Source organism: Homo sapiens, chromosome 2 (assembly GCF_000001405.40).
Source record: "Homo sapiens chromosome 2, GRCh38.p14 Primary Assembly".
Lineage (NCBI taxonomy): Eukaryota > Metazoa > Chordata > Mammalia > Primates > Hominidae > Homo > Homo sapiens.
The window spans coordinates 65,990,280-66,015,691 of record NC_000002.12 but is presented as its reverse complement, the minus strand read 5'-3'; the positions used below and the strand labels follow the sequence as shown (position 1 = coordinate 66,015,691).

Below are 25,412 nucleotides of genomic sequence, written 5' to 3'. Positions count from 1 at the left end.
ATTTTCTGTCCATATCTATCCATCCATCTACACGCACACAAACACACACACACACACACACACACACACACACACAGAGAGAGAAACCTGAAGCTTAGGGCTTCTATTTCCTGTCTCCCCACTCCCACCCCCAAGATTGGATTGCACATTCCCTGGGGTTTATATGGGCACTGCTGGCCTGAGGGCCTTCTCCTGTGAGCTGATCACCCTCACTATCACACCAGCCCTGAGTCTATGGCTGAACCCTTCTCTACCCTTTGCATCGACCCTGGTAGGGAATTCAGCACTGTTCTTGATTTCCGCAAAGCTTAAACAAAAAAACAAAACCAAAAAGCATGCACACAGAGAATTTGTATCTATTGCAGAATTTACTGAAGATCTGTAGCGATAATGGATGTTTACAGCTCAGAGTTGCAAATTACACAGCTGAACGTGAGATCCCCATTGCTTGAAGGTTTTTTGGCCACCCTGTCATGATGCTTTACTCTCCTCTCTCCTTCCAGTCTCCCCCCATCTCTAGTGACCCCCAGAATCCTTTCATTTTGTTTTGCAGAATAACTCCACTGTCTGTAGCCCCTGCCCCATGCCAGACCCTGTCAGACCCCAAATCTCTGCACATACTGTAAAATCTGCTCCAGGCCTCTCTCTTCCTGCCTCCCCATCAGGCTCAGCTAGGGGAATTAAGCCACCCCCCCCACACACAAAAGACAGAAGAAGCCAAAGCCAGCATTGGCTTTAAATAATCATTTTTCCCTGCTATTTTAGAGGGCATTTGTCACTAAGGCACCATGTCTTGATCTCAGAAGATGAGAGAGTTTTCAGGTTTTTACTCTATTGTGAGATACTTACGTGGTATGGTAGGTTCTCAAGACATAACAAATCATCATCCAACTACTTGCTCTAGATAATAATTCCACGCTTGATTTGTGAACAGAATTTGTCAACCCGACCCTGTTGCCCCAGGAAGGAGGTGGCTGTCTGTGAGCCAGGCACTGATACTCTGCACCTCAGGCTCACCTTCATTAAAGGGTGAGGAGGAACTAAATGAGCCCGGTAAACTTGGAGATGCATCACGTGGTACAGTGGACAAAAAGGCTGAGAGGCACTAAGTACATTCTGATAAATACCAGCAAAACTAAAATCATGTTTTTCAGGACATAGTAAATTAAAGGTGTTTTTATGGCTCTATATTTATATTTTCAACATTCATGTTATTTCGTAAAATGGACTTAAGTCTACCAAACTAACAATACAAGCTAGGATAAAATACAGCAAACACAAATATTAACATTTTCAGTAAAGTCACCAACTGAAATATTTTTTCACCAAATTTAGGCCCAGTGCCATAAATTGATTCAGTCAGTATTAACCTTATATATTTTTCTCATATTATTGAACCAGAAATGTATGAAACAACAAAATATGCTTTGAGCTAAGCCTAAAACAAGCTAATAGTTTATTTAGTTCAACTCATGGATTTCCACGTTAAGAACAAACAAAAACAAGCAACATTGAAATATTTTTCTTCTCTAGAGGAAAGTAAAGTAAATATTCATGTTTTTTCTTCACTTAAATTCTGCTATTCAGTGATTAAAGTGCCAAAAGAGAGAATAATTTCCCCTGGTCCACAAAAGGTTGATTAATCATAACTCAAGTTTTATTTTCTCCCTACCCTTCTAAAAAAGGAAGAAAAGTGACAACTTTTTAAGTAACTCAAATGTAAGACCTATAGATATGCAAAATTAAAAATTTGAGGCAAAACCCCAAAGTAAACAGACACAATTTAAAGATCTACACAGAATATAGCAAGAAATCTCTTCCAGCCTTGTGTTCCTTCTTAGTAGTACAAGAGATACTTTATATTTTCTTGGCTGTGTTTAAGCCATCCAAGCACTACTGCTACAATGTTTTTGTCACTTCATAACCTTTATTTCACAGTTTCAACTTTTAAAAGAACTTTATTCATCACCCCCCTCAAAAATTTGTAGGCACATTTTAAGCATGCTGCCACCAAGTGGCAGTCCTGCTACAGTCACCTGATCTAAATAATAAACACTTTGGCTTTGCCTGTCATTCAAAAGTAGATCTCTACTAACACCTTTCTCTTTAGAGACTTATTAGGCCTCTTTACTAACTCATTTTCTCTACCATGGACACATCAAAAATAGCTACACTTGCAGTTACCTAATAATACATTTCCTTGTCCTCTAAGATAAATTCCTTCAGAATGAAAATTCTAAGTAGAAAGAAAATTGTCTTCCATATGTGAGACACGAATAGCCATGTTTAAATGAATCATCACAAAGATTATATTTTATATCAACTTTTAAAGAAATGAACATCTAAAGTACAACTAAGTACCTTCTCCACAAATTCTTAGCTTTTTTTAAATTGCCTTGTCTGAATTGCTAAGCTTGGCACCAAAATCCCTTCTCAGCAATTTGTTGAAAACTTCTGAGTTTCTTTGAATTGAAATAGCCCTGTGGGTCTTGCTAACACCCATATATTCTCTTTCTGTACCACTAACAGATATTCTATGCACCTCATCCAGGCTAATGGAATGAATTCAGTGCTCAAAGCCTCTTCTTTTTTTTTTCATGTGGCAATAGAGAGTATGCAAGCTTGCTTTTTTTGTTTCTCTACAACTACAAGTAGCTAAGTTTTCACTTTATTCATTTTTGTCCTAACTTTCCTAATCCCCATTCAGCCATATCCAATAAGGGCATCTGGCAGAACTTGCTAAAACTAATTTCTATAGAGGACTTAATTAGTTACATAAAGCTCTCATCTACCTTAGCAAAATACGGTTAGATCTCTCAGCCTTGTGAACTGTCTTAGTGATATTTTTTTAAAACAAAAACCTCAAAAACTGTTTTCTGGAGGCATTTATATCCCTTAACCATAGCAGATATCTTCTACAAAAAAAAAATTATATCATTTTTTTGAGCAGAGACTTAAATTGTGTCATGATAGAGGAGTTTTCCATATTGCTTTGGGATATATTTTACAATCCATTCAAACTCAAAACAACTATATGCTCAGCCGCTAGAAGAAAATGAAAATGGGATGACTTAAATATTAATAAATTACAGAGGTAATCCTCATCTAATATAAAATGTCTAAACCTTTTTATTCCTCTTCTACATTCTCTTTCTCCACCACCTCGCCCTTCCTCCTCTACCTCCCTTTCCCCAGTCTCTCATCAACTTCTTCTTTCTGTTTAATCTTTTCTCAAAGCCCAGTCTTGCCTGCAATTCTTTGAACTGGGCTCAATATCCAGCCACATTTAAGTCATACTCCCAGTTGACAGCAGCTCACATATTCAGCACCTCTAAAACCCCTGCCTCTTTCCCACAATTCCAGCCAGTCCCATTGACAGTCCTGCCCCCATAAGAGAAAAACCCAACTGAGACACAAATTTGTCTTTTTATTGCAGAGAAATAAAGGTTTGATTCACCCACCAATAAAATCCTTACATTTTGTTCCCTCTCCTTCATTGCCATTTCCACAGATCTAGAAGCCAAGAAGGCTGTTTCTGATACAAACTCAACCTCTCTGGAGTATTTTTGCCTGTGAAGTTAGACAATTAGACTAATTGAACTGGAAGAAACCTTCCAGCTTAAAATTAATAGACACATCCTTAACAAAATGAATTCCAACAATGTCTGATTAAGAATAATAATATATAACAGAATATCATTTTTGGACTGCCTCTATGTACCAGGCACTACATAGTCTATATAATCTCAAAAGCCATTAGCTTCTATTGTGTGATCACTACATCAAAGCACTTTTTATTCATTATCTCACTTGGCCCTTCAACAGCATTGTGAGGCATGTACTATCATTATCCCCTTTTTTGCAAATGAGGGAACCAAGGCACAGAGAGATTTTAAAACTTGCTGAAGGTCACACAGCTAGTAAGTAATAGAGACAGAATATGAGCCCAGTCGGTCTGACTCCAGTATGCAAAGTCTTAATCACCGCACTCTACTCAGAACAAAACTGTGAAGATGGTATTACTACCACCATCTTGTAAGTGAATAAACATTCACACCCTGAATTACCTCCCAGGAACTATCATCAAGTCATTAACTGAGACCATGCATAAGTTCTCACCATGGTTGGAGAGTGTCGTGTTCTTGTATGAATTTATAGCTAAATGGAAATGTTAGCTAAAAAAATGGAGTTGCCTTAACCAAATATTGTATCAACAGAATGTTTCACACAAATTAAGACCTTATAATGGAAATGGTATAAAAAATGTGTCGGTGATGACATTCAGTGTAAAATGGTCATTAGAATATTACTATATTTCTTACTTCTAGAAATTCTTTTTACCAATCTGCTTACTCTTTAGTAATATTTTATTTCATCTTATAAAAGATATTATTCTGTATTCTGTGGTGGATCTTTCCAAAATCTGAAGGTTTTTTAAAGGTCTTGTTGTGCTATCTGTTGTTTCTGCTGGCTCTTGCTAATGTCTTCTTTGTAAACTTTACTTAATGATTTTTGACTGTAAACAGCTAATTACTCTCAGAATTTTACCTGTGAAAAAATTTTGAGCCCTAGAATTAAGATGAAATTTTCAAATAATGATTTATATTTGTTCTCTCAGTGAATGGAAACATTACCACTACTGGAAATTTTTTTTTTTAATTTCATCAGCTTGAGAGTTTTTAGGCCACTGAGGTGATATCAATTTGATCTGTAAAGCTTCATGAGAAATGGCTTATGGTTATCGATTTTCAAAGAAATTTTTTCCCTTATTAGTTCAGTGCCAAGGTTTGTGACAGTTTGTTTTGAGGTCCCCTGAGTGAACTGAGAGGTTGTTTTATTTTTAATGTATCCTGGCACTGAGAGTATAGTCTCACGGAGCCCCAGCTTTCCAGAGGGTCTTCTATTAGATTCCTACTTCTAGTTGGTCGTGAGCTTTGTCTTCCAAATCTTATTAAGCCCCACGAGGCCTCAAAAACTACACTCAGTTTTACCCAGAAAAGTGACCTCATGTCAGTAACTGGACTTTACTACCTCTCTGGGCTCCTATTTTCACCCAATTTTTGGTCTGAGTATTCCTTACTTTCTTGCAAGCTCATGGAAAAATTATAGAAATATTTCTTAAAATTTTATTCTGCATATTTTGTTGTTTTCAGTGGAGGATCAGTTCAGGCATCTTGTCTACCATTTTACCATCTGGAAAAGTTATTTTATGTGATTGAAACACAATTTGCGTATATACATATGATGGATTCAAATTAGTGATACGATTAAGTTCATAGCTTGTTATTAAGATTGAATGAGATTAGCTATATGAAAAGCGGTCTTAACATTGGGTGCTACAAAAATTAGCCACGCATTTACTCCTTCTTCTACTCATTCACAAATGTTTATTAAATGCCTACCATGTGCTCAACACCATCCTAGGTGCAAAGTATACGGCAACGATAGAGAAAAGAAGAGAGGGAAGGATAGGGTGAAGAAAAAGACAGATAGAAAGTAATAGTGTATTTTACTCTTTTAAAGTTTCTGAGGCCCCGCCTGCACAGGGGAAACTAGAGCTATGCATTCTGATTAAACCCCATTGATTTCCCTTGGCCAAACAGGACTTGGGTAGACAGACTGAGAGCATCTTTGAGGTACAGGATGTTTTATGAATTAGCAAGTCTAAATCCACAGTCAAAGGAACCTCCATGGTAGGGCTGAGGGTGCAGGTGCAGGGTGGGAGATTGTTGCTTTTCATCATAATTCTGAACTCTCTGATTTCTTGCTATGTGTAGATAGTGATTTATGACCATTGGCTAATAAAATCTAATGAGTATGATGCACATTTATAAGCAGGAAAGGCCTGGAGCCTGTGTTGGTCACCATCTCCTGAAGATTTCCTAGAACTGGGCATAAACCCTGAAAGCTCCCCATAGATATTTGTGAATGAGTCAGTGGATGAGCAACTTGAGGAATGAATGAAATCAAGTCATGTACAGAATGGCAACATAGGTAATGGTGAAGCCTGAAAATCACATAGTCCACAGGTTGCCTACATGGGAATTACAGAAACACTGTTCCTGTAATAGCAAATATACCTGCGCCAGAGTAGAGACTTGGTGAACTGAGCTTGGGCTGAATTTCAGTTCCCACTAGCCCTCTAAGCTGAACCTCTTTAGGCAGTGAAAAACCTGCTCAACTGTACAAGGCAGCTCTGAGTTAAGAGTGAAGGTTTGAAACCAGATGCATGGGTTCAAATCCTATCTTCTCTTCTTACTAATACTGTGACCTTGGACAAGTAATTAAACATCCAGTTTCCTTGTGAGCAAAGTGAAAATAAAATACTTCTCCACTAGACTTGTTATGAAATTCCAATGAGTGAATGCATATAATATGGCACTGAGAACATTGTTTTTAGCTAATACTTGGTCAATCAAGATTTGCTATCTTTCATATTTCTACCTCATTAACTTTGGGTACATTTGCAAAATATATTTCAGTTTGTGCAATGACTTAGCTGTAGTATATGCATGGGTTTTGTCTTCCAGTGGATAGAGCATCGAATGTGGGGTCTGAAAACCCCTTTCCCAGTGACACGTCTTTCACACATAAAGTCAAAGCTAAGTGACTTGGAGCAGCTCACTCCGCCTCCTTAAGTATCAAGTTTCTTCAGCTCTTAAACTGAAATCATAATGCCTCATAGTCTTGCTCTGCAGTTTAAATGAGATAGTGCATAAAAAAGTGTTTTATTTTCATTTTAAAGCCCTATACAATCTGAAGATATTGGAGGTAATTGAAGAGCATAAAGCATAAATCCATTCCTACTCTTCTCCAGTAGCCATAAATGTGGAAGGCATTCAGTACATATGTCTGAATAAATAAATAAATAAATAAATAAATTTGTCAGTGAATGAGAGTTTAACAGTGTTTTTTCAAAAGGGGATCACCTGCATCAATATTATCTGGAGAACATGTTAAAAAATACCCTTGCGGGAGAGCTAGACCAGAGGTTCTCAATCTTCACTGCACACTGCACTCACTAAGGAGCTTTTAAAAATGGCATGTATCCCAACCCCAGAGACTGGAATGAAATTTGTCTGGGGTGTGGTTAATGCTTTAGGATTTTTAAAGCTCCCTTGGCTGATTCAAATGTGCAGCCAAGGTTGAGAATTGCGGCTCTAGTTTATTGAGCCTGATTGGTAAGGCAGACACTAATATTTGGCAACTCAGAAGTCATTTCGCATTTCTTCTTCCTTACCACTTCCCTCCATGAAGCCTGGAAAGAGAAAGAACTCATTTCCTCAACCTTCACTGAAGGCAGGGTGACTGTGTGCCCAGGTCTGGACTGAGGGTTGGGACCCTCAATGTGGGAGGTGGAGGCTCCTTCCTGCTTTTACTCTTCTGATCATAGTGCCAATGTGTCTCCTCTCCCTTTACCCACTCCTGCCTTGAACACCACCGTATGGCTGGACCTGCCGCAGACCGTAAGAGAAAGGCCAACCAAGTGGACCTCAGAGATATAATCCTTCACACTGTAGAACCTCTGAATCAACTTCAGCAGTCACTCACTTCTGACCTTCTTGTTGAGTGAGAAAATCAAACTTCTAATTTGTTTAAGCCACTGAAATCCAGCTTTCTGCTGCATGCAACTGAACACAATCCTAACTGACAGAAGAAGATCCTGTCTATTTTCTTTTGCCGCCATCTTCAGAAATGACACCAATATATTAAATACTTTCATGTAAACGTGACTACAAGTTTATTTACAAAGTGAGGAGTTTGCCTGAGAAGGAATTTGAAGAGTAGCTTAGTTGAAGGTGTGGACTCCTGTAATTAAAAACACTCAGAAATTGTCTCAACTGTAGAAATACCCATGACGGAAGAGGGACTTTCATCAAATGATTTCCTGGAAATTTTTCTCTCTTGATTATTCCTTTACAGAACTGCACAACATTTGGATTAAGGACAAGTACTAGAGAAAAAGTATACTCTCCATTCCCAAGCCACCATCCCTTCCCAAACTTGGGTGGCTACTCAAGGAGCAAAAAATTAGGTATCCCTGGCGGCTCTTTCTGGACTGCCTGAAAGAGCTAGCTAGCCCAGTGGCTCCCCATGTTCCCAACAGTTTCGTCGTGCCACTAAGTCTCCAGGTGCTATTCACACAGGTGTGTCACTCCTCTAAGCAGCTGATATTAACTCCAAGATGCCCCTAGCAGGGCACCTTCAACCATTCTCAGACTCTTGGTTAGGGTCTCTCTACTCCCAAAATCCCTATAAAAAGGGAAAGAAACAAGAGATCAGAGTTCCTCTCCTGGAGCATGACCCATAGAGTGTCCAACTGTGCTCAGTTCCCTGTAGGGCTCTACACAGGATGGGAAAGGAAAGCAACTGTGCTTATTCCATTGTTGACCCTCTGCCTATGAGTTCCATCCTGTGTCTTAGGACATCTGCAGTTCTTTTGTGGGCTCTTCACTCCACACTAAAGCAGATATCTTCGCACACTGATATGAGGTATCCAAGCCTCTTTCTCCTGCTTCCCGTCCCTTCAGTTGGAGTCTCTATCAGACTAGTCACTCAAACTCTACCGCATAATAATAAATTATCTTGACGTTCCCTTGCTCAAAGTTTAAAGGCACTCTTGTATCTACAAAATTCAAAATTTATGAATTGTCATGGAAGACTTCTCATATTGTAAGCCCTCATAATCCTCCCATGATGATCCCTACCACTCTTGAGTGAAGTCTTCATACCATATTGCTTTACGTCCTGCTTCTCAGACACAATCTGAAAATCTTAATAAGATTCCTGCAGTCAAGATAAAGGGCAGTACTTGGCAAAATTGCTTAACTACCGGAATTACCTGGGCAGTTGTTTAAAATATAATTTCCCAGAATCTGCTTTGAGAAAACTTGATCCTATTGCTCTGGGATAGAGCTGGGGATTTGCCTTTTTGAAAATATAAAATGTCAATTTTAGTGACTCAACAAATTTGAGAAATAATAATGAATAATAAAGAGGAAGAAATGTATTTCTTCTATCTTGATTCTGTTTGAAGCCTACCCCTACCTGTCCTTCAAAGTCCAACTCAAACCTCTTGTCTCCAAGGCCTTCAGACAGTTGGATCCATGGGCTTTCACTGACCTTCACAGAGCACCAGGCAGTCTGTCCTATGATCCATGTTGCTATTTAACCTTTCACGTGACTGTGCACCTTATGTCATTCACCCATGGGCCTTAAATAGAGGTGTGCATCAGAATTACTTGAGAAGTGCTTTCAGAGTAAAGATGTCAGGGAGTCTTTGCTTCTGTTGATTTTATCCAAGGCAGCTATAGTCTGAAAAAAGCTCTTCAGGTGCTGTGTTTTGGATGTGGTTTGTTTGTCCTCACCAAATCTCATGTCAAAATTTGATCCCCAGAGTGGTGATGTTGAGATGGTGGGATCTAGTGGGGGCCTTTGGGTCATGGGCATGGATCCCTCTTGAATGGGTTTGGGGGGCTTTCTCACAATAGTGAGTAAGTTCTCATTCTTGTGAGACTGGATTGGTTCTCAGCAAAATAAATTAGTTCCCACAAGAGTGGGTTGTTATAAAGCCAGAACACCCCACGGCTTTTAGTTTCTCTTTCTGAGTACCTGTTCCCCTTTGACTTTCTCCACCTTATTTTCACATAGCACAGAAGCCCTCACCAGAAGCTGAACAGATGCCAGTGTCATGCTTCTTGTATAGCCTGCAGAACCATGAACTAAATAAACCTCTTTTCTTTATGAATTACCCAGCTGCAGGTATTCTTTTACAGCAACACAAACTAAGACATCTGGTGATTCTAATGAGTGTCCATTGCCTTTTTAATCCCACCTCACACCATACTTGTTTGGGAATTCCTGTACTCATCATACTATGAGGTCCTTGAGGATAAGAACAGTATCTGACACTTGTTTCTAGTATGCACATGGCTTTACATCACCTTGAGTTTTGTGAAATGAGTGTTCTATCAAGATGTGTGGATTGTTTGATTAATTGATTGATTGACTGCAAAGGGTAAGAAATGGCCTCTGCAGTATTCAATAATTAATATTCATTCTGCTTCTATTCCTAGCCCCTATACTCATAGTATGCCTGTTAGCTACAAATTCTAAAATGTCTCACGAATCCACATGTGAGAATGTAACCACTGATACTCAAAATCAATAAGAGGTGCCATACACATTAGCATAATGGATGACCTCTTGCTTTTCCTAGAGCAGAAAATCAAGGGCACCCTCACCCATCCTAATGTCATATACACTGGAAACCCTGGGGCCAATCCAGGGGCACTGCCAGTATGAACATCCAACCTCCATGGAGGTTTTCAGCTACCTCAAAGGCTGCTCTGATGTTCTTTAAAAATCTTTCCAACAAGGCTGAATTGAAATTGCTTTGACTCTTACATTGAAACAGGTGCCATCCAGCAGGAAACAAAACCAGCAAACAATAGCATGTCACTGAGGTCAATCCTAGCAATTAGGTAAAATAATATGGCAGCCCAGATGGTATACTCTATAATCCTGAAATTGTATAAAGGTTTTTGCATGCTGAAAAATCCCTTTACTCTTGAATTGCCAAGGAATCTGTTGTAGCAGTTCCTTAAAATGTAGTGTGTTGCTAATTAATGGCAACCAGGCATTCACAGTGCATAGTGATTGATTTGTCATATTGGTTTTAGTTACTCAGTAGGACTTTGAGGACAAAAAAGTAAGACAGATAAGTTTTGATTAACTGGGAGACACCGGCAAGGGCAATAGGGCTAATGATGCCAGGGAAGGTTCTGGTTGGCTAGGACATGAAAATGCTGAAAACCAGAAAGGGCTAAGAGAGGGAAAGGGAAAGTGCCAAAAAGAAGTGATTTAAGAGCTGAAGGGGACATACACTGACTCTAGGTATCATCGTTCTAAAAAGCACTGGGAACACGGATGTACCATGTTTGGGATTATGAAAGTAATGTTTAGGAAGTTTTATAAATATAATTTCCAGGATCTAAAAGAGACCATCCAATGTAAAGCTCCAGAAAGTCACACACACAGACCATCCACTACAGATGGGGCTCACCCAGTGGACATGTCTGCTTCACTCCAAACATCAGCCAGCATTCACTCGTCCGGACCACTGAGACACTCTTAGTGTAATGGGTTCTCTCATAATTAAACTGTTCATTAGTGGACCCATACCAACAGCTCCACTTCTCGTGGGCTGAACTCTCATCGCTGGGGCTGTTTATGCAGGGACAAACTATTTCTTCAGTGTGGAATTTTAAAAACAAGAAATTCTTGAAAGCCCAATGAAATTAAGAAAGCGGGAAAAAGAGAAAGAGAAGAGACAAAACCAGAAACTGGGCAAAAGGAAAGGAAAGACAGTAGGAAGGGAGAGGGAAGAGAGGAAGGAAGGGAGGAGAGAAGGAAGGAAAGGAGGAGGGAAGGAAGGAAGGGTGGAGGGAGGGAGGGAAGGAAGGAAGCAAGGAAGGAGAAGGAGAAGGGGAAGGGGAAGGAGAAGGGAGGGAAGGAAGGAAGGAGGGAAGGAAGGAAGGGGAAGGGAGGGAGGGAAGAAAGGAAGGAAGGAAGGAAGGAGAAGGGGAAGGGAAGTAGAAAGGAAGGGAAGGAAGGGAAGGAAGGGAAGGAGAGAAGGAAGGAAAGGAGGAGGGAAGGAAGGGAGGAGGCAGGAAGGAAGGAAAGGAGGAGAGGAAGGAAGAGAGGAGGGAAGAAAGGAGAGGAGGAAGGGGAGAAACAAAAGGAAAAAAGAATTCCAATACTTTGGTCATAGTGTTCATATGATCTTGGAAGTCTCCATGGGGGAGGTGTGGCCTGAGTTGAGCAGAAATTGACAGCAAGAACCAAGAAGCAGAACGACACTGAGGGACACAGTCCTTCTCATGGCCACTCTAAGGCCCTAGGCTTGAATGGCTTCCTCAAATCCAAATCATGTCTCTCCCAGTGTTTATTGGTTTCTTGAGCTGCTGCCAGAGCACTACCTCTGTCTGCAAGGTCTTTAGAGTGGATGTGGTTCAGTCTGCCTGGGGTGCTGAAAATTAACACAATTCTAACAGTAGTCCATGTTTTAACATAAACCAGAATTATCTGTGAATTCTGACTTCCCTGTCAAAGCAGGATCCTGTGTAAAATACTAAATATATGTGGCTATGTCAGATCCCTTCCAAAGAAAGCCAGAGTAAGTGAAGAATTCTGCAAATGTAGAAACATGGAACCTCTAAGGGTCCTTTCTGTGGGGAAAATCTCCTGGGGGATGAGGAAGAACTGAGTCTTTAAAATTACCTTTATTTATGTACATACAAGGAGTTCTAACTGGACTAATCTTTAATTGTATGAATTTCTACAACTCTTGTCCTTAAAACTGTTCCTTCACATTCTACTAGTCATGATCGAGCATATATATTCTAAAGTATGAGGCCTAGAAATTAACAGAAAAATTGAGAAAACGAATTGTGATGCTCATTTTATCTAGAAGCCATCATCCACATGGACACACAATGACGCAGTCCCATGAACAGGCTTTAGGGTCATTAGAGGGTGTCAAAGTCCAGGCTCTATAATCCACCAGCTGTGTGACAAAGGGAGAGTTCTATAAGATCGCTAAACCTCAGTCCCTCTTCTGTGTGGTAAGAACTACCTTCTAGGGCTGTTCTAGGGATTCAATCATCTAAATGATACTTACTATGATTGCGTGATAGTTAGGTGCAGTGTTTCAACTTGACTGGGCTAAGGGATGCCTAGATAGCTGGTAAAATATTATTTCTAAATATATCTGTGAGGGTGATTGGAAGAAATCAACATTTTAATCAGCAGACAGAGTAAAGAAGATTCCTTTCACCAATATAGGTGGGCATCATCCAATCTAGTGAGGACGTGACTAAACAGGACCTGACTAGTCAGGAGGAAGGGTGAATTTGCTTTCCCTGCTTGAGCTGGGATACCCATCTCCTCCTGCCCTCAGAAATCGGCATTCCTGGTTCTCAGGTTTTTGGGATTCAGCTAAGACTGAATGACACTACCAACTTTCCTGGTTTTCCAGCTTGCAGACAGCAGATTGTGAGGTTTCTTAGCCTCCATAACTGCATGAGCCAATTCTTATAATAGATCTCTTCTAATATGTATCTCTCTATATCCCATTGATTCTGTTTCTCTGAAGAACACTGACTAATACAGATGGTGACCATGGGGTCTTGCCAGGTGCTGGAAGCCCCTGTGATACACTGAGCCATGAGTCAGACAGCCTAGTTTATGCCCAGCCATGTGGCCTTCATTTTGTCTAGTTCCCCATCTGTGAAATAAAAGTCTTTGACTAGCTGATGCTGTGCTAGCTAACTAGAAACACATTGATTCTTTTGAAAAATAGTTTGTTTTTTTCTTTTTAAGACATTGGGGAAAATAGTGGTAGCTATAGAGAGGTCATGTGAGAGAAGTGACACATCTTGGAAGCTCAAATAAAGATGATCTTCATGGCCTTCCTCAAGGCAAAATTAGACATGAGTTAGATACTCCTAAACTTTGCTCCCCGAAATAAGCATTTCCAAAATGTTACCCCATGTCCACCTTCTTCTGCTGGGGCCTTGATAAATTTTTCTCTCCTACATCCCTGCCTCCCCCAGGTTAGCAGCTGCTAAAAATTTTATACACCTCACTTGACCCCTCCATTCCCTCATCCCCATCTCTCAACCCCATCTCAATGAGCCAGGAGCTTCTGCAGAACTGGTTTAGTGAAATTATTGGGTGGGGAAGTTCATTCCGTCAACACCAAATAGTTAACAGAAACTACTCAAGTCTAGCATTAGGTGGGAGGCAAAAAGCTCATAATAAAAGAACGTGATTTGGACCGAATTTCAAGACAGACACAAGCATCATATTTCTCAATGATGAGAAAGGGATGAAGTCAAAATCCCACTGGGTGGGGCAATGTGAGGAGGGAGGAACAGAGCTACTTAGTTCCAAGGCTAAGAGCTCTCAAAAAGCTGATATAAGTGTGTCCTCCTTGAAAGTAAACTCTTTAAACTTGAAGTGTAGATGTTTACCAAGCAAAGATCAGAGCCTGAAGTTAAGGTCTCTCTACAGAAAATTCACAAGGGGGAAATAAGTCAGAGTGACAATTTTTAGAGAGTTCAAAAAAACTGTAATGAAAGTGTCTCTTGATATGTATTCTTGCTGTGTTGTAATCTTCCCAGCCATACTCAAAATGACAAATCAAGGACTTTTAACTTGTAACAGAGTTGCAAGTTAATCAGTCCAAAACTCTGCCTCCTTGTAGGCAAAGTTTCCTCCCTTGTTTCCCCCATGAAAAGTTTAGACCCTGAAACATTAAGCTAAAGATGTATGGTCACACCTATAGTTAGCAGTAAACAGCAGAGGGAAGTGAAGTGTATTAGGGTTGATGTCTCATAAGGGCACTTAAGTCCTGATGAGCTCTTGGAATAATTTTTATAATCATCTGAAAGAATTAGTGTCAGTTTAGATCTTCCAGGGACTAGCCTAGATCAGTGCTTCTCAAACTTGAGCATGCATCAGGATCAACTAAAGAATCTGTGAAAACACAGATGGCTGGGCCTCATCCCCAGAGATTCTGACTCAGTAGTTCTGGGTGGGCCTGAGAATGCATTCCTAACAAGTCCTGTGGTGATGCTGACACTACAGGTCTGGGATTGGCCTAGATAATTTGGCTGGGGGTCTGATTCCCTAGAACATTTCTTGGAGCCTGATTTTTATGACTAGTAGGCAGCCTCTGTCCAATTTACTCCACTCAACTTCCCACACAGGTCGAGAAAAGTGATTTCAATCTTTGACACAGAATGATGTCCATGGCATGATGGGGTAAGCAATTCAAACACATGAGCAAAAGCTAGAAAATGATGCATGTGTGCATCTACTTTCAGAACTCCAAAAACTCTACAGATAGGCTTTGCCTCAACTCTGGGTTGAACTCAAGATATGAGGCCTAGAGTAAGTACTATTTATATCTTGGAAATAATACATGGGTTCTGTAAATGCCTGCCTTTTTTCTTCCTTCCTTCCCTCCTTCCTTCCTTCATTTCTTCTTTCCTTTCCTCTTTCCTTCCTTCCTTTTCTCCTTTCTTTCTTCTTTCCTTCCTTCTTTCCTTCCTTCCTTTCCTTCTTCCTTCCTTCATCCTTCTTTCTCTCATCCTTGTTTCCTTTCTTCTTCCCTTCTAAAAATTACTGAGTCAAAAATAAATTTTAAAAAGTAAGTTAAGCTGACAAAGCACAAGTTGGAACTCATCTCAAAGCTATTTATCCTAAAGGCCACCATTCTGGTTTTCCTGAGCTTTTTCCTAATGGGAAGAAATGACAGTCCATCCTGGAGACCTTCATGGCATCCTTTACAAGTGGGAAATTCCCATGGCTCAGTCTCCATCCTACTTCAAGTAGGACTTTAGGGTCTGGCCAGCACAAAGACAAGGACAGCCATGAAAGTCAGAGGTGGGGGAAGTCATCCATCTCACTGTCAATGGCACACATCACTCTGATGTTTCAAGCCCTATATACACACATCATTTTGCTTGATTTATGGCCCTAATTAGATCCCAGTGGCAGTATTCCATCAGCTAACAATGCATATCCTAATCACCTTTTCGTCATACAAATGATTTCCTTAACTTTGCATGCATAACTTAACAGCTTTTATTTTAAAAACTCATGTTAACAGCTTTCCTGTGGTAACCAGTAGGGGTGCTATGATAAGAATCTAATTTGCTGTAAAAATGACTCATTTGTCAAATAAGCATTAAAATAATTGTTCCCCTTTTGACTGTTACCCTGCTGTTTCCAGTCATTTTCCAAAACTAAATTATTTACTCATTTGAAAGTTCAGCTGTGCGTATTTTAATTGATATTCCCTCATAGGACTCATATTGTTAATGACAATAATTAACCCGAAAAGGCTGCTAAATAATTATGCTGGAAAGATATGAAGTATTTGCACAGAAAGTAAAATCAGTGTTTGAAAAACTATCAAAATGTAAAACTTTCATATTTTATGGCAAAGCATAGTAATAGTTCATAATCAAAGAGAGAAAGGGAAAATGTAGATTGTATGATTTGATGCAGAGTACTTTATGTTTTCAATATAGAAAAGTAGTATAGCTAACAAGATTACTCTGCCATCTCAGTAAGCTCCCAATATTACTATTGTAGCTGGCAATATAAATTGTTCTTCAGCACTTAGCATGGCTTAGAATTGGAGCAAACTAGCTCTTAATAATAATACCTAACACATATTTGCTGCATCTCTGCTAGATAAATCTCCCCTGTGATGGACTTAACAAGCTCCACCCACACCTAACAGAGACACAAACAGTAGACAGACTGTAACCCTTACCCAAGAAATGCAGCTGTCTCTCAATGTGTTGAGAAGTTCTCAACATAAGTGGCAACTCCTTACTCTCTGGGACCCAATAAGAGTAGAATTCAGAAGAACCATTTGTTTCTGTAAGCTTGCCAAATTAAACAAAGAAGGGAGAACAGAGGGTTTAGACTTAATATGCGGTCTTCTCTTGCCAGTCTACCAGGCTTCTAGTCTCTAGAATCCATCAACGCTAGTATGCCAATGGGGATAGTTGGAGACCATTTACCCAAGTAGACAGTTAGGACTGCTACACTCACAGAGGTCTTGACATGGGGTTCAAGACCTGGTTATGCATGTTACATAAATGCTTTTGAACTAAAACAGGAAGCAACTTTATAAAGCACAGAAATGATAGAACTTCACTTAAGGTCTTGATGCATGCCTCTAATATGGCAAGAGCAGGTAATTGAACATCAAGAAATGCCTCTGTCATTGCGTCAACTCCCTTTATTTTTACCTTACTGGTAGCATAATAATGTTGTAATGAAAGTGATAATTGGCATTTTTTAAATTTACATTGTTCTATTTATTTTTCTCACAGGTGCAAAGACTAATGCTAATAGGAAGCAGAAGAGTAACTTATGAATACATGGGCTTGCCCTACTTCCACAAATATCTCCTGCAAGCACTGAATACATGGGATAAATGGATGAGTAAGTATGGTCCTAATTATGCTTGTCATTAAAAAAATGCAACTTGCATAAAGAATAAGATTTGATTTTAATACATATCTAGATTGTTCATTAATTATCTATATTATTTCTTTGTCATCTATTATAGAAACATTAATTTAGTAGCTATTCTATGCTTAATACCAGCAATATAGTGGCCAAGAGGATAGACAGATGCTCTACACTCAAGTTGCTTACGTTCTGGCAGTTAAACCAGTAATTTTTTTCTGGTCAAGATGATACAGAGTGAGAAACTTTGATGCAATCCCTCTCTCCAAATCTTCAGAAATCATCCAAAGACATAACTGAGCTCAGTAGTAGGATAAACATTCTTGGGCCAGAAATGCAAAGTGGTGGGCTTGGCTATAGCAACTGGCCAACAGGGTTCCAGGTCTGGAAGCAAGCATCAGAGCCAGGAACCCAGCTCCATATTAAATGAGAGGTTGAAGCTAGGGACTAGTGTGAGGCTGCCCTGTAGACAAAATGAAACTGAAAGTCGGGGAGGGACACTACCACCACATTGTGCCTAGCATTAGGGATATGGGCCCATGGAGCTAGGCAGAGATATAATCAGCTTCACAAACAAGAAAGGAGCTAAGCCATCCATCCACTGGCTTAGTGCCTGGCTTTGCCACACTCTTAATATTATCTTAAGGAGAAGACTAAAATGCTGTTATTACAAGATCTGATCCTAAATTTAGGGCAGACGGAGGAGGGTAAGGCGGAGGCCACAAACCCACTAGACAAGGAGAGGTGATCACTAAGGGAGAGAAGTGTGTATGTGTGAGTGTGTGTGTGTGTGTGTGTCTCTGTGTCTGTGGTAGGGAGGGGAGGGGAGGGGGAGGAGCCCACTCAAAATGAGTCTCTATAACAAAATTCCAAAATATATTAGATAATCTAGTGCTAAGAAAAGTAGCTAAAAATTAGCAATAGGAGTATGAATTCATGCCAGATAAAATTGATTTTATAGAACAGCATAACAAAGACTTTAAAATAAGCGTATTTAAAGTACTCAATTAAAAACGAAGTAATAGCCTTTATTTAAGAGAAAAAAGGCTAGGCATGGTGGCTCATGACTATAATCCTAGCACTCTGGGAGGCCAAGGCAGGTAGACTGCTTGAGCCCAGGAGTTTGAGACCAGCCTAGGCAACATCTCTACAAAAAATACAAAACTTAGCCGGGCATGGTGGTGTATGCCTGTAGTCCCAGCTGCTTGAGAGGCTGAGGTGGGAGGATCGCCTGAGTCCGGGAGGTTTAGGCTGCAGTAAGCTATAATCATGCCACTGCATTCCAGCCTGGGTGACAGAGCAAGACTCTGTCTCAAAAATGCACACGCACACAAAAATCAGAGACAACAAACTGTGAAACAAGAACAGGCAGAAATAATATAAGATCATGTAAGTCTGCAAAAGAACCAATTAGAAATCTTGGAAATGAAAAATAAAGTCACAGAAATTATAAAAGAAACTTGTAAGGCAAGTTAAAATCTAGACTGGACAAGATCAAGAGTAGAATTCTGGAACTGGAAGATATTATTGAGGAATTCATCCAGAACAAACCCCAGAGAAATCCAGGGAACAATAGGAGAGAATAGCTAAGAAATACAGGTTACAGATTGAGATGCTCTAATGCTGGGATTAGTGAACTATGGCTCACAGGCCAAACTCAGCCCTCTGCCTGTTTTTGTACAGCCTGTGAGCTAAGTGGTTTTTACAGTTTTTAATGGTTGGAAAAAATCAAAAGAATAATATGTTATGACACATGAAAATTATATGAAAATTCAATTTTGGTATTCATAAATAAAACTTTAGTCTCATAATGAATACCATAAATAAAATGACCACATTGGTCTGCTTTAAACAACCACGTTGGTCTGTTTACATATTGTTTATCACTACTTTGTTTTTTTTGGGGTGGGTTTAAGGAGCAGAGAGGGAGAGTTTAATAGGCAAGAAAGAAGGGAGAAGAAAGAAAGAAGAAGCTCCCCTGTACAGAGACGGGGGCGGGGGCGGGGTGGGGGGTGCAGTTCAAAGCCGAGAGAGTAGATCTATCACTACTTTTAAACTACAATGGTAGGGTTGAATAGTTGCTACAAGAACTAAATGGGCGACACAGCCTATTTATCCAGCCCTTTACAGAAATGTTTTTAGATCTCTGCCCTAATATCCCAGTTTCAAAAAGGAGGAAGGAAATGGCATAGAAGCTAAATATGAAGAGACAATCACTGAGAATTTTCCAGAATTAAAGACTTGGTGAGAGAGATTTAATACTCTGCCACTCCTTAACTGTTCCTTATTTTAAGAATATTGATGGGACATTTGTTGGACCATCACTGAGTTTTATAATCTAAGGTTCCTGGCCAATTGTACTATATCACTGAACTGACCCATTAATTAGACAACTCATCAATCCAGTCAACCATCTGTTGTTGGTCCACTGAAATGTTAGTTTAATTCTGCTCAGTGGCATCCAGAAACTCAAACCTTATAAATCTCAAAAAGTCTCCAGGCTTCTATTCATCCATCTCATTAAATTTCTGCCCTCTCTTGAGACATTGCCCCATAAGATACCTTGCTCAGTCAATTCCTTCCGCCAGGTATGTCCTTTCCATGGTTCTTTATGCTGCTATCTTCCAAGTTTCAATCTTTCCAGATATAGCTAACACATTATCTTATTCATTCAGTCTTAGTCCTGCAAATATTTAATGAGTGTCACACATGGAGTAAGTGCTCTTCTATATGCTAGGGAGACAAAGGAAAGTAAGTAACAGCCCTTGCCTTCAAGGATCTTACTGAATTTGAAAGACAAGCAGGCAATGAAAATACACAATAAGTGCTGAAATCAGAAGAAGAGGAGCAGATGAAGTGCACATAATACTTGGTGGCTTGATGCAGTCAAGAAAGGTTTCTTGAGAAAGTGAGATCTTACTTGAAACATCAAAGATGAGTAGGAGTTAGCTGCACACGGGTGGTGAGGAAGAGAGGAAAAAATACTAGGCAGAAGGCATATCATATACAATGGCCAGGAGGTAAGAGCATATGAATAATTTCAAAAGCTGTGCAGTTAGAAAGTAGAGGCTGTGGTATAGGTAGTGAGTTAGTCATAAATGAAGCTGGAAGGGCAAACAGGAGCTAGATCACTAAGAACCATTTTAGATCTGGAGTATTGGGCAGGGAGCAAAGTGGTCATATTTGAATTTTAGAAAGATTTCCCTCAGCAGAGAGGAGGCTGGCTTGGTAGGGGCAAGATAGGCATGGATACAGGCAGATAAGTCGATTTGGTGGCAGGAAGATAGAGAGATACTATCTTGCACCTTCTATTTTCTCTGGGAAGTCAGATACAATGCCATCTACTAAGAGGAAGGAGATGGTTGGCTAGGTGGAGGATCTTTGTCATAAATGTCATGAAAAATAGGATAAAGAGATACACAGCTGATTAGGAAAATACAAAGAACTGCCAAGCACACTGAGATTGTAGACCTTTAATTTTTGGCAGCCCATTTACTCAGCAGTCTGGCATGGAGATGACAGATAGTGAGAATTCACAATTGAGAGTTTTACTTAGCCTATGTGATCAAAGTATATTGAACCCAAGGAGTTGAAGAGGCTTGCAACAGAGTGGTTTTAAATGGACCATGAGACTAGGATGATTAGGGAAGAAAGTGAAGATAAGAGAAACTAGAGAGCTGGAGGACTGGAAAATGCTAAGCCACCTGAATAACAAGGACTCTGAGAGCCCCAGATGGAGAGGAAGACATGGTTAGATTGTAACATGGCAGTGGTTTCATCAGCAAAACAGCAGTGGGTGACACCAAGATCAGAGAAAACCATGGGATACATAGACAAAACCAAGAAGAGGCTAAAATTAGGAGCTGAAGTGATAAAGGAACTGAGTGGCCAGGGTATTAATGGGTCATCACGCAGATGATGTTTTCACTGTGGATGATGGAAGATCTTGGCTTGGGGATAGAGAAGACTAAAGAAGCCTTCAGTGAAACAGAAAGAATCATGCAGAAGGTGAAATATTACAACAAGGAGAGGCAGAGGGCAGTTTAATTGAATGGCATAATTGTCAGAGAAGAAAAGGCAATTTTGTATATAAAATGATAATGGAAGTGTCATCGCCAAAGTACCTCCCAGACCAGAGTCCTGTCATGTGAGGGTGGTGGAAACTAGCTGCAGAAAGCCATGTGTTCAGGGGAAACCTGGGTTTTTTAGCTGGATTAGAAAGCGGATGCCAGTTTAGGGAAGAGATTGAGAATATAAAAGAAAGAACTTATCCCTAAAGGGGGATTCTAGAAGGCAAAGTGGAAAGGTTTTGGAGAGTGGGAATTCTGGAGAGGATGAGTCAATTCAGTTTCTATCACTTATTCATTCAACAAATAGTTGTGAATTCTAGCCCTTGGCGTACATGTATTTGGTGCTAAGGACTTATAAATGGAGAAGATATGGACTCTCTCCCTAAAGCACTCTTCATCCATTTATCATAGGCCATATTGGAGTTCTTTCAGAGTAATCTCCCCATGACATCATGGTGGAAGCAAAGACTATTGGGAGACTTTCAAGAAGAGATCACGGTTCACTGTCAGGTTCCCAAGCAAAGACATGAGATGGTGAAGGTGTTGACTTCACATGAGTATCCTACAATGATTCTATTGCCATCCAAGAAACAAGGCAGCACAACCTACTGCTGACTCCGTACAAATGCAAGAGGAGGGTGAAACCCCATACCAGGTGTCCCCACTTCCATCTCCACAAGATGCTTTCTTTGAGGTGCCAGCATGGAACAGTGAACAAAGAGAACAAACGTGAACTTCACTATCACAGGGATAACTGTGCTCTGTTTATGTGATTATCTCCTCCACCAGATTAAGAGCACCTCAGAAATAGGTGTCCTGCCTTATTTCTCTGTACCTAACACTGCACTTAGCACAGCATCTGGTACATAGTAGATAGTCAATAAAAATGTGTTGGCTGAAATGAACTGAACCATACAACTCACATTTGCATGATATTTAACAGTTGACCAAGTAGCTTCACATTAAATATCCCAGGGTTATACAAACTTTGCAAAGTAACCATTTGCATAGCTCTACTTTGTTGAATGCTCTCTACCTGTTAGAATCAGCATAATTATTTTCTTCACTTTACATATGCAAAAAGTGAAGTTCAAAAATTAAACAACTTGCTGTGGGTTATACAGTTAGCCACCCGTGGAGATAGAACTAGAATCCAGAGAATCCTGGACAGTTTCTGTTACAAAATGCTGTAGCCCAGAGGAAGTTAATTCCTTGGTGGGCAGTGAGTGTGAAAAAGGAGAGAAGTAATGACATTATGTAGTATAATAGTATTGATACAATTACATGATATACAATAGTGTTGATACTATTATACTATAATAGTATAATGATATTACATAGTATAATAGTATTGATAGTACAGTAATAATATACTATTAATAATTATAATAATTTACTACCCCTCTATTCTCTGCAGCTTTTACCTATACAATCTCTAATATAAAAACCTGTAGAATACCTATTATTATTCCATTTTACACATGAAGAAACTAAGAATCAGAGAGCCTAATTAATTTACCCAAGTTCCCAGAGCAAGAAACAGGTACACTGCAGCTCCAAACCCAAGTCTGAATTCTTTCTCCCATTCTATTCTGCCTCACAAATCATCCCAAATCAGTCCCTGAATGTTCTCTTGCCTAAATCTTCAACCCTAAGTATACTAAAATGTATAGCCAGAAAGAATTTTAGCAGTTTTGTTTTTGTTTTTTTGTTTTTGTTTTACACCAGTGCTGACAGTCAACCAGCCACACTTAACTGACTACTATTCATTATTACTTGGGGGGATAAACAAAGAGGTGAATAGAAAAAAGAAAAGATCATTAATTCTTTCTTTCTTTCATTCATCAAATATTTATTGAGTGCTCATCATATGCTGGTCACTGTTCTGGGCATTGAGGATGAAGAATGAAATAAAACAGAAAAAAATCTCATTCCTCATGGAACACCGATTCCAGCCAGTCACTGTCCTCAGTGGTCCTTACTCTTGTTACAGGTACCCTCCCCCACCACCCCCCATCCTCGACACACACACACACACACACACACACACTCATAGAGCCTTTCCCACCTCTGCAAATGGCAATCGTGTTCTCTGGCCCCCAGGTTCTGAAGAGAGACAGGCTGCCCTGTAAACACAGCATCCGCAAATGATGTCCAGGGACTGGATTTTTATAGGGCCTAGAAAATTGTACCCCTATGGCTATTTGAGAGAACCTGCAGCCATCATTTCCCTTAGTCAGGGGGATGTAGAGATAAGGGAAGAAAGCAGATGGCAGGCAAGCTGCAAAATACCATGGCTGAATCACACGTGCTCAAAAAATGAGCTGCTCTACCAGACCTCAGCTGAAAGCTACCAAGCTGAATCTAAGGGTTATGTTGAGATATTGTCTTGCAACCTCAGCCCTCAGAAATGGTTGTGTTTCCTTTGAATGCTGTCTACCTCTCCTCCCACGTGGGCAGAGCTCCTCATTGCCAAGCCTATTTTTACGGTTCATCTCCAAAACAAGTACAAAATAGTGTGGGTCTCAGATGAGTCCTCCCTCTCACTGGCCACTGGAACACCATCTGCAAGTTGAGTGGGAACAGTAAACACTGCAGGTTAAGTAACTTATTACTAATATTTTCCTTGAGCTCTGAAACTTTTTAAACAAACAACAACAACAATTGTATCATAATAACCTTCCAGAGGTTAACAGCCGGCAGGTGGTCCAGCTCAGTTGAAATGCAAACCAGACAGCTGTTTGATTATAAACTGTTGATTCTTAATGGTGATCTGGGGAAAACTTCTTGCTGAAAAAGGGTCTTCTCTTAAAAATCCCTAATGAAACAACACATAAATGTCAAAATGACAAAAATAAGGAAGTGTGTCATAGACTAAGCATTTTAATGTCCTTTCTGGCTTCCTCCAGAGTGTATGTACTCTAGACCTAGCCACATTTAATGGCACAGATTCCTAAAGAGGCGGTGCGCAGCATGAATTTTTACGACCCAAATAAAACTTGGAGAGTCACTTTCCCTGCCATAGTCAGTGTCCTCAGCAGATGTGTGGGAGGCTCGTGTTTCAAACCAGCCACCGAGCCAGCACTTTACCTGGACCCAGAGGCTATGCAAAGAGTGAACATGTGAGGAGGATATTAGGAAACGGAGTAGTGTAGCATTATCCTGTCTGTCTCCAAGCCATTAAAACCTGGTGGGGATTCCCCTGGGAACCCTTGGTAAAATTAGAGAAAATTCCAAGGACTGATAAAATGGTTTGAGAATGGAGGATAAAAAGTTTCTAGTCAAAACCTTATATTAACACCACAGGGCCCCACAGACTGATGGCCATGACTGTTTTCTTCCCCTGATGATGAAATGAGACAAAAGAAAATCACTCTTTAAATCCATATTTAATTACTTGTCTATTACATTACAATCAGAAACATTTCAGAAAGTTTGCAAAGAAAAAAAGTCAATCTCATGTACCTCATAGATATGTGCATAAAAATATAAAAATTGTTTTAAAAAGAAAAGAGTCAGACTTTTTTATACTAAAATCTATGGCAAGGGGTGAAATGCAAAAACCTTAGGACAGTAAAGAAAAACAAACTGATATGACAACCATCTTTTTTAAAAAAAAAAACAGAAATAAGGAACAAAAATGAACAGCGTAAAAGGGAGAAGTTCGTATCTCCTAGCTTAGTTGCAATAAATTAGTAGAAACTTGAGATCACAGGGTGTGAAAAAAAGATGTTACTTGGTTTTGCTCCATGTTTGATGGGGTTTTCTGACCTGACCAAGGGCAAGAGCAAGGGGTAGCAATGAGCTGGACACCCTGGGATAGGATGGGTAGGAACAGAAGGAAGCACCCAGCATGCTTAGCAGGCCCTAAATACCTTCTAATACCATCAAAGGAAAAACAGAACTAGAAGGAGTTAAAGCGCTAAAATGAGATTTTATTCAGAAAAATTATTGCAATGAGTGAAAAGGGACCTCAGTACGGAACTAGGCTCAATTCTCAACACAACAAAGAAAAGTGGGAATTTGTAGCCAAGGAGTGGGTTGGGGGAGGCAGGGGGATATGGATGGAAAATTCCTAAGAGCAAACATGAAGGGACGGGGGACTCTGGCTAAACAAACCTAACAGGACTCTTGCTGAAGGCAGGCAGGGTGACCAGACATCACCTGGGAGGCGGTGGAGGGTGAGGAACCTGGTCAGATACGGAGGGGGTCAGAAATCCAGGATGGGGTATTCTGGCTAAACTTAATAGGATTCTTGCTAAAATTGGACAATACAGGGATGAA

General features: G+C 40.0%; 1 long non-coding RNA gene across 2 annotated transcripts in view; it reads right to left on the bottom strand.

The window, feature by feature from the left end:
- LINC02934 (long intergenic non-protein coding RNA 2934) overlaps positions 1–25,412 on the bottom strand; it is a 298,411-nt gene that overhangs the window by 72,794 nt on the left and 200,205 nt on the right. The window lies entirely within an intron of this gene.